Source organism: Homo sapiens, chromosome 13 (genome assembly GCF_000001405.40).
Source record: "Homo sapiens chromosome 13, GRCh38.p14 Primary Assembly".
NCBI classification, from domain to species: Eukaryota; Metazoa; Chordata; class Mammalia; order Primates; family Hominidae; genus Homo; species Homo sapiens.
The window spans coordinates 87,121,518-87,132,441 of NC_000013.11; the positions used below are offsets into that span (position 1 = coordinate 87,121,518).

At 33.2% G+C, this 10,924-nt stretch overlaps 3 annotated features.

Annotated features, from left to right (window-relative positions):
* Nucleotides 2,336–2,923: an enhancer, noted in NCBI's record as "OCT4-NANOG hESC enhancer chr13:87776108-87776695 (GRCh37/hg19 assembly coordinates)". NCBI's record gives its function as "activates a minimal SCP1, AML or CMV promoter by ChIP-STARR-seq in naive H9 embryonic stem cells {active_cell/tissue: H9 hESC(naive)}" and the evidence as "EXISTENCE:reporter gene assay evidence [ECO:0000049][PMID:30033119]".
* Nucleotides 6,348–7,031: an enhancer, noted in NCBI's record as "OCT4-NANOG hESC enhancer chr13:87780120-87780803 (GRCh37/hg19 assembly coordinates)". NCBI's record gives its function as "activates a minimal SCP1, AML or CMV promoter by ChIP-STARR-seq in naive and primed H9 embryonic stem cells {active_cell/tissue: H9 hESC(naive and primed)}" and the evidence as "EXISTENCE:reporter gene assay evidence [ECO:0000049][PMID:30033119]".
* Nucleotides 10,004–10,555: an enhancer, noted in NCBI's record as "NANOG hESC enhancer chr13:87783776-87784327 (GRCh37/hg19 assembly coordinates)". NCBI's record gives its function as "activates a minimal SCP1, AML or CMV promoter by ChIP-STARR-seq in naive H9 embryonic stem cells {active_cell/tissue: H9 hESC(naive)}" and the evidence as "EXISTENCE:reporter gene assay evidence [ECO:0000049][PMID:30033119]".

Genomic DNA, 10,924 nt, shown 5'->3' on the forward strand with positions numbered 1-10,924 from the left:
GTTCAAATTGTACATGTATAATGGCAGTATAATACACAATATTAATTTAATTAGAGTTTTTCAGACTAACAGATTCAAGTTTTTATTCTAAGACATCTTGTATGTTTTCGAACAATTTTAATGTTTAATTATATATCACTAAACTATGATCATTAAATATAGGGTTAGTTGGTTAGATTCTCCTATATCATCCTTTGCAAATTATCTCAGGGAGAAATTTCATGAAAATTTACTGTTTAGATAAGATAAAAACTCAATTTACTATTCTTAAAGAAAACTAAATAAAAAATTACCACTTTCTTTAAGCACATTGAGGGCAAATCTACCTGAAACAGAGATATTAAATATATATATTTACAAAGTATAAGCAGAGTACCCAGTATTTGGCCACGATGCTGTAACATTTTATTAGGACACACACACACACACACACACACACACACACACACACACACCATAATTTTTACGAGGTCTGAAAAAGAAAATACCAAGAGGCCAGAGAAGTGACTGATATACTTTTCTTTCCCCCAGTATCACTCAAAATCATGTAATTTTCTCCAAAAGCCAAGTGAAGAATATGGCAATATGGCTCTTTTGTCACTGCCAAACTGGGCTCCTAGATACTCATGACTCTTTGAAGACACAAAAAAAGTATATTCCCTTTGACAGCAGGATGCTACTACCTTCTTACTGGCCTTACTTGAAACAGCAAGATTCCATTTCATTTTGTTTATCACAAATTGATTCATGCTAATCTATCCAGTTATAAGGAGAAGTGGATAAATCAGCAATCCATTACAAATGAAAGAGGTTGTCTGGGATCTTGCGAGGTAAGAGAGCACAACATACTTATTTTTTCTACTGATCAACCTTATTTTTTAAACGTAATTTTTGTTATACTTAATATGTTTGGAAAGCATATATTACTGGAACTACAAAATATTATATATAGTTAATTTCTGACAAATAACTATATTTATGTATATTTTGTTCTATATAAAAATGTTGGCAGATGGAGAACCTTTAATTTTAAAGTAGGAGTTATCAGTTAAATCAATTATATCTCACATTAGAAATAGGGAAAAAAGATGGCAAATAAAGGAAGAAAGTTTATAAATAAGTTAAATGTGATATAGTAATAGGCAAATAAATAATACACAAAGTTACTATTTACACATAGCATTCACCCCTAGTCAGGTTCAAACCCACAAGCTTCCTTTTCTTCCACCACAGTGAATGACTGTATATCCTGCTGACTGCATGCTCTCATTATTTCAACTTCTACACCAGGAATTTTCTAAAAGTATATTTCCAAAATGTAAAACAATCATCAAGACAGTTTTTGTCAAATTAATATTTTCTCATATGTAAGATGGATAGAGGCAAATACCCATTGGATTCATTTCCTGTCAAGATTCTACCCATTCTTATGTCTTGAGGCAACTGATAATTTTTTTATATATCCTTTACTAAGAATCTCAAATAGAAATGCTGTTTATGTATTTTTTACAACTCTTAACAAAAGTCTTCGTACCATAACATGTTCCTGTTGTTAAAGTCATTTATATCTACATTTTCTCCACAATGTTATAAATCCAACATGGATTAAAGCCATAATTTTACTTACCCTTTAGCCTTCAATTTCTCATGTTTTAATTATTGTTAAGTACACAAACATGTTTTGAGCAAACAAATTGTATATGAGTTTGGAATAAGGAGGAAAATGGGTAATGGTATGCTGGGAAGAAAAAGAAGAGTTAGAGAGCGTGCAAAACTATGGTACTTTTTTCAGTGTAACCTATGGCAAGTTTAAGAATGTGAGAAAATATACTAAACTTTGGAATCTCAATGTTTCCTGTTAAACAAAACACAGAAAATAAATTTCAATTACATTTTATTTTAAATTTTCTAAATTGGGATTGTCACAAACAGACCTAAACCATGTTTTTACCAGCAAATGGTGTTGGGAAAATACTCTTGAACCTTTTATTGGACTAAACTAAGTGAGCTAAAAAGAATATGCTTTTAGGATATTTTCAATCTGAAATATCCTTGTCACTTAGCAAGTCTCATGTCTCTAAGAGACTAAAAGAATTAATAATAGTAAATTATTTTATACAAACATTTATAATACATTAGTTTATATGAACATTTAAGTCAATAACATAGAGTTCATATATATTCATATATATATATTAGCATTTAAGTCAAATAAGCCAGGAAAAATGGGAGAAATGGTTGAAAATTATTTAAGAATGTAATAACATTAAGTATCTTGTAGAGCTCATGTGATTAAAGTAGAATTTTTTGTTTAAGTAATTTTTCCCACTATTACATTTGCAAAATGAATATCTCCTAATTTTGTTTATATAAAAACTATTACTAAAAATGCTTGTTCCACCTAAGTAACAGATATTTGTTTCTGCTACATTGACCTTCACTAAAACAAACAAACAAACAAACAAAAAAAACACTTATGTTGGTTCCTTTGTATAAATGTGCTTCAAGGACAACTGATTTTCTTTACACACCTCATAAACGTCAAAACTTCATTTGCTGAGAGCTGATGTTTTTATACGGTGTCAGGTCTCTTCTCCCCATGGGGTAACTGATGCCTTTACTGTAACCACATGAGTCACCATTTATAATTACTGTTGCCTAAGACACTTTGTCCACTGCTGTTTCTCCACATTCCATTGCTGTGTCATGTGGTGGGAAGCTGTGCCTCACTGAGCACTTGCTGCGTTTCTCCTGCCTGCTGCGTGCTGGTGGTTTTCCCTCCTCACCTCACCATATCGCAGCTGTCATCCTGCTGTCATCTGTCTTCTGTGGGTTTCTTCCCCAGCAGCTCTGTTACAATGTGCATCGCCTCATTGCTCAGAAATCGGCTGTGATCCAAGAACTTAAATGTGGCAATCTTTATAAATAAAAGCTTTTGCCAATGCTCTTATTCATTATAAGTATATTGAAATTGTATATGCAGGGCAGAGATGAGTTTCATACCTGCCCACCTAAATGACTGCAAAACCACTAAATAAATTTACTAAGAATTTCAATATTAATTTAAACTGGGTAGCAAAATGAATAAGGGGTCTCTATTAGTCTGAAATATCCAGAGAAACAGACCAATAGGATACATGCATGTGGGTATGTGTGGGTGTGTGTCTGTGTATGTGTAAAATAAGGAAATGGCTCACATGATACGGAGGATGGCGAGTCAAAATCTGTAGCGTGGGTCAGCAGGCTTAAGAGATAAGGAGTGCAATGTGCAGTTCCAGCCTGAAGACCAGTAAGCAGAGACCAGCGAGAGCAAATAGCGTGAGGAAGCCTGCAGGTAGCCGACTGGAGAATTCTTTATTGCTCCGGGAGGCTGACATTTTGTTCTAGTGAGGCCTTCAACTGATGAGGGCCACCAACATTTTGGAGAGTAATCTGTTTTACCCAAAATTTACCTCTGTAAATGTTAATCTTATCCAAGAGCACCTTCAATGTTTATATAAAATTAACCCTCACAGTATGTGTTGAAGTATATTCATTTCATTTTAAATAAATTCTCTTATTTTAAATGAATCATTTTTATTATTTATTTAATCTGTTTAACTGTGTCCAGCTTGGCTATCTATACTGTTTTCATATTCAAAATTACTGTAATTAGCTGATCTGATGTTTCAATTTAAGCAATATCATACTGTAAACATTTATATATGACATGTTGTGAGCTTAGCAAACACAGTAAAGAGATTTCTTGAAATAATTTTTTTAACTGAAGGAAAAAGAAATCAGTGAGTTGCATTATGATTAATACATATTTAAACAAAATTTAGGGACTTAAGTATTAAATAGAGTTGTGATAGAAGGAAAAATATATTTGTATTATTAGGCTTCCACCAATTTCGGATTATATGGAAACACATGCAATATTAAGAGTGTAATACCCCAAAATCAAAAAGAATTGCAAAATGACATGGGGCTCAGTTGCAATTGAATGTGTGACTTCTATTTTGATTTGTAGTAAGGACTATATTTCAAAGACAAATAGATTACCAAAAAAATTCCAAGGATTAAAAAGAATAAGAAAAACTGAAAATGGATGGGAATAAATAGCAAGTGTCTTTACATATTCAAAAATATATTCTGAGCAGTTACAATGTGAAATATAGTTTTGGAGATTTAAAAGAAAACACTGCCATTCACATTCATAATGAAAACTCAGAAACCTAAACACATGTTTCAGATATTATAAAATAAATGGAATTAAGCTAGGTGTACATCAATGGTGGATTGGATGAAGAAAATGTGGTACATATACACCATGGATTACTATGCAACCATAATAAAGAACAAAATCATGTTATTTGTAGCAACATGGACGCAGCCAGAGGCCATTATCCTAAGTGAATTAACACAGATACGGCAAACCAAGCACGGCATGTTCTCACTTATAAGTGGGAGTTAAACATTGGTTACTCATTGATATGATTTTGTTCCTCATTGATATGGTTTTGTTCTGTGTCTCCACTCAAATCGCATCTTGAATTGTACTTCTGTAATTCCCATGTGTTATGGGAGGGACCCAGTGGGAGATCATTGAATCATGGGGGCACATTCTGCCATACTATTCTCGTGGTAGTGAATAAGTCTCACGAGATCTAACGGTTTGATAAGAGGAAACCCGTTTCACTTGGTTCTCATTCTCTCTCTTGCCTACTGTGTTGTAAGATGTGCCTTTCGCCTTCTGCCGTGATTGTGAGGCCTCTCCAGCCACGTGGAAGTGTAAGTCCAATTAAAATCTTTCCTGTATAATTTATCCAGTCTTGGGTATGTCTTTATCAGCAGCGTAAGAATGGACTAATACACCGAGGGACATACAAATGAGAAAAAAAGTCACTGGGGACTCCTAGAGTGGGGAGGAAGAGAGGGGTTCTTGGACTGAAAAGCTATCTATTGGGTAGTATGCTCACTACCTGGGTGATGGGATCATTTGTACTCCAAACGTCAGCAGTATAATATGCCCATGTAACAAACTTGCACATATACTCTCTGAATCCAAAATAAGTGTTGAAAAATATAATGATAAAAATAAAAATAAAAGGGTAGCCTTTTAAAAAACAAAAACAGCAACCAAAAAAAAAAAAAAACCCAAATACTTTGGGGACATAAAGGTAAGACCATTTAAGTTGTGTTTTAAACATTGTACATAATTTTAATAGAGTAGTATACTGTGACTTTAGTGATGGAAGTTCCATGTGAAGTATGTATTGCTTTTAACACACATTTGCAATCCAGTAGATGGTCTATGTAAATAATAAATGCATTTAATTAGAGATTACATGTGGCCACAAACATCATCACCATCATCACCTTATGTTGGAATTCAGGCAGCAAATTTTAAGAGAAGAAATTAGTGAAGCTAATAAAAGCATTGCTATCATCTACAAAGATATTCCAGGGGATACATCAAAAGCGGTTTGAAATATAGAGTTTGAATATATAGTCGTAAAAGGTAATGTCAGTGTTCTTACTTCTAAAATTTCTTTATTTGTTACATGTTATTTATTATTTATGCATTTTATTTTTAAATACTAATTCAAAATCTTTTAATTGTGTACTTATTTTAAACATATCATTTGGCACTCGGATCCATGTTGTATCTTTAGGGTTAAAACATATTATTTTCTTAAAAATCTGTCAAGTAATGATTACAACTTCATGACTTACTTATACATAATATATTCAGGGACTGTATTATCTTTAATATTTGTTTTTTAGAAAGTTTATTTAAGATTACATGGCTGGGCGCTGTGGCTCATGCCTGTAACCTCAGCACTTTGGAAGGCCGAGGCGGGTGGACCACCTGAGGTCGGGAGTTGGAGACCAGCCTGACCAACATGGAGAAACCCCGTCTCTACTAAAAATACCATATTAGCCGGCCATCGTGGATCATGCCTGTAATCCCAACTACTCGGGAGGCTGAGGCAGGGGAATCGCTTGAACCTGGGGGGCAGAGAATACGGTGAGCTGAGATCGCGCCACTGCACTCCAGCCTGGGCAACAAGAGCAAAACTCCGTCTCAAAAAAAAAAAAAAAAATTACACTTAGTTTTCACTGATCTGTGAAAAAGAATATGTAGCTGTTATCATAATAAATATCTTATATAACAATTTTAAATATTGCTGTAATGAAAATACTTCTTAATATATGAAATTTTGCTGAATATGTATGCTATATTTTGACAAATTACCAAATGTTAATCAAAAACAGATATTTGATATTTTTAAATGATAAACTTTTTAGAATATATGGCTCTTTAAGTCTTGTTATAAGAGAATTGTTAATTACTAGTATTAATTTCATTAATTGCCATTAATAAGAAATATGCTCATTTTTCTAAACTTTGTATAACTTAAGGGAAGCTCTGTAAATGCAATAATGACCATTCATTATTGCTATTGAGAAAAGTAAGAAAAGAGCCAGAGCCTAGAAATGCACACTAAAAAAAAAAATCTGTATAGAACCAAGTGTGAGTGAAAATCTTTAAACAACATATTATCTTGGTAGTAAACTGACATCTGGATTAAGGTGCAGTATGGGGGCCCCCTGCTTCTTCACATTAGTGCACTAAATTAGCAATCAACTAGTTCATTGTGAAATCAACTGCTGTTTCCAAACAAAGGATGCCAGCATCCAGTGTCAGGGTTGCTAAGTGCCTGATTACACAAAGACAATGATGGGCTGCCAAAGCAATCCTTTAGCCTAGCTTTAACACTAAAGCCAAGAGGCATTTGGTATGCAGAGCAGAACATAGTCAAACATGGGTAACTGAAAGATTTAAATTAGGTTGTTTCTGTGTGGCCCCCTTTTCTTACAATCACATCCTTATGTTTTCCTTGGATATAGTAAAGGGTATGTTTGGATCTAAATAATTTTTATAGAAATAAGTAAAGAGCTACTAAAATAAACAATTGTATATCTTTATATTCATTCCATATTCATCTGACCTGAAGTGGTTTTAAGATTTATGTATATTCACCTTTATTTAACCCAATTGCTCCAACCTCCAGGCATCCCTTGTCGTAATTAAAGTCCTAACAATCACGTCACAAAAATTATGTTAGATGGTCCCAGTGAAAATCTACTTACAGCCATTTTCTTAACCAGGACTCCACACACAATGGCATGGTCCTCTCCCTGAACAGGGCCTTGATGTTAGTTATTACCCCTGGCTTTCTGAAAATAGACATGTTGACTGATCAATCAGGACAAAGCAGGAAAATGAAGGCTGTTTTCTTCCAAAAATGTCTGACATGCTTGTGTGCTTGATCACTGAACATATTAGACTCCAATCATTCCCTAGCTTACTTAGAAGCTGTTGTCTTCAACTTGTTTTTTTCCCCATTGTTGTACCAAAAATTTCATAGACAATGTAATAACCATAGAAATGCTTTAGACTCTCATATTTACATATATATATATATATATTTTTTTTTTTTTTTTTTTTTTTTTTTTTGCATAAACAGTCCAGGTCTTAGTCATTTACTCTTACATCCAACTTCTTGTTGTCATTTCTGTCTGGGATATTTTAATTCTTCCAATTAAAGTGTCTGGTACAGAATCCTTTATTTCGGTAATGTCATTACCATATACCTTATTTCACAAGTTAGGGTTTGTCATTTATCTTTGCCTCCATCCTTTCCCCTGCAATATCCTTCACTCATTCAGACCACCAGCATTTCTTGCATTGTAATTCCTTTGTCCTTCTCCAGTCTGGTACCATGAGAGATACATGATCATGAGAAGATATCCTTGAAATGAGAAGATAGGCACGAAATACTAGCCATCAGTTCTAAGATTAACAAAAAAAAAAAATAGCTTCTCTAACAAGACATAGAGGTCTCTCAGTGACTTGGATCTGGCCCAGTGATTTGCATCCTGCCAATATTAGTAAACTCATCTTTTTTGTCCCTTAGCTGACACGTTAGGAACCTGTACAGTAGATTTTGTATAGTTTTCAGACAAACGTTGTTTTCTGCAATACTCATTCATTTATTTATTATGTTGGAAAATACAAATTTGCCATTATACAGAGCTTCATTTGGTCTTCGCTTTCTCTCTTTCTTCCCAAAATATTCTTCCTCCCTACCCTAGCTGGTTGAATTTCTATCATTATTTAATCCACATCAGGTGTCACTTCACTGATTCTCTTACATGTCTACATCTGATGACTCATTCATCAGGTGTCATTCTCTTGGACTCTCTTACATATCTACATCTCTAACTCTGTATTTGTTATTGTATTAGTCAGAGTGCTCCAGAGAAACAGAAACAACAGGATATCGAGAGAGAGGAGAGACTTGTTATAGGAATTGGCTCATTTGATTATGGAGGCTGCAAATCTAAAATCTGCAGTGTGGGCTGGCATGCTCAATACCCAGGAGACCAGGTGGCACACTCCCAGTCCAAAGGCAGGCAGGCAGAGACACAGGACAATCTAAAAGTGCAGATAAAGTCTAACAGCAATTTGCTGGAGAATTCCTAGCTTGGGAGGGTGGTATTTTAGTTGTGTTCAGGCCTTCAATTGATTGCATAAGGCCCAGTGATATCATGCAGGGAAATCTGCTGACTCTGACTTGAGTTTCACAAATAAAATGTTAACCTCATCCAAAAACATCTTCCAAGTTGACACATAAAATTAACCATCACAGGTATATATTTTAATAATTGTGTATCAGCCTTCTTTATGGTCCAACAATATTTGTGATTGCAAACATTTTGTTTTTCTTATTTTATGACAAAATTAGTGAAAAAAAGTCATACATTGTAGGTGATGAATAAGTGGTTATTAAATTATTGCAGAGGTTTATCAAGTTTCTCTAAATCTAAAATTATTCCGACATGAAAACCTCACTTGACTTATTGCTACCTTCTCTCTAAACATGAATACATTGTTCCAAGTACTCAATTTCCATATACTATTGCACCTTCCAGCAGGCTACATGAAAGAGTTCATACATATTTGACACAATGGAAAGAGTTTGGCTAGTTACCAATTATTCTGGATTTCAATTACCAGGGCACATAAATAGAGACACTACAAATACCTTGCATGCTTATTATCATGTAAATTTTTCTACAGGGCCTGCAATGTTGTCTTTGTATTATAGATATCTCCTCCACCCTGTACAACTAACTCCCTTATATCATGTTAATATTCTATCTAGTGAGTTTCAGGTTAATTTAGTGTTGTTGGTTAAAGTAAATGGAAAACATGTGCAATGATTGATAGGTATAGTGGATTATCAAAGAACAGTGAGTTTCTGAGAATCTCAAATTAAAATATTAAGAATATTAGGCAATGGCATATGTGTAATGAAAAGAAAAATAAAAAATATATGCAGAATCACTGATAGTTAATGATTTTCAATTTTGAGGTAAAAGACATTTATTTTCTCCACTGTGTAGTTCTTTAATATTTAATCTTATAACATGAGCCTGTATTACTTTTTATACAAATACATGTTTGTGATGGGAAATATAGTAAACAGTTTGAAAGATTATCATTCACCTTTACAAAAAGCATCTTACGCAAAGTAAGAGGTATGATTAGCATGGGCAAGACTTCTTTCATTCACTCTTTAAAGAAATAGAGTTTACACAAGCAGTTTTATTAGAATTACCAGTTAGATTTGTGTATCTATCTATCTCATATGTACACACATACATACATATATATGTATGTGTATATTTCTATCGTGTATATGTATATATATATATATTTCTGTCATATATAATATATAAGAAAAAATGAAAGTAATCTGAGTTGTAATCATTTTTCTACTGACCTTAATATGTAAAAAAAATTGGTAATAAATAAATTAGTGAATAATCATGACAGTCTTTATTTTTATAATAGTCAAGATTTCAAGATTTGAATATGCTATTAAATCTATAGGTGAACTATGTATAAATTTTGGGGCATCTCCGTTGAATAATTTTATGGTTATAAAATTAATAAGTCAGTAACTAATATCGAATTATTTTTTAAAACCCTTTTCAAGTAAATATATTCATATATCAGAAAGATAATGCAAACTATACATGCCACATAGGCTTTCAACTTTTAGAATCTGCATTCTGAAGAATGTTCATGAATGAAAAGTTTCTAGGTATAAATAGAAAAAGGAAACACTAAATATTTAAATGAAGCCAACTTGTCATTTTCAGGCAGAAGGTATGGCCTAAAAGAGAAAAAACTGCATCTGTATGTTTGAGGCACATTCCTCTCATTCTGAAGTGTCTCAGCTGCTGTTTTTCAAAGCTGATGTGAAAGACAACAGAAAGTAGAGTGGTGACATAAATGGGTTGGGGAATTTATAAAAGGAAGGTGACATTTAGTCCTAGAATTTCTTTTGGTGCACTCGTCCTGCTATGCTTCGTGTAGAATTTTATTTTAATTCAGACACCTCAGAGTAAAGTATTCAGCTCTTAAATTTGTGTTTCTAGAAAATATTTTGTAAATATTTTAAAACATTTTTCTGTTTCTTCCTTAACAGCTACATAAATTGTGCATATAAGACAATTTCTAATCTCTGTCTGATCATTTACAAGCTAAAGCTACATATGCTAATATTTCCCACGGTGACAATGGCTACAAAATTGGAGTCATGCCAAACTTCATTTTAGTTCTGACTGTGTCACTTACTAATTGTGCGATTAATAGTAAAATTCAAATTCTCTAGTCCTCAATTTCCTCACTTGAAAACAGTAATCTTTTTTCTAGAGGAAACATTTGTCTTAATGTCTAACACAATAAAAAGTTCAAGGAATGCATTTTGTGAACTTCGGTCATTCAAAAACCATTAATTGGATACACAGATCCCATGCCAGATGATAGAAATACACCTCTGAAAAATAAAGACATGGTTTC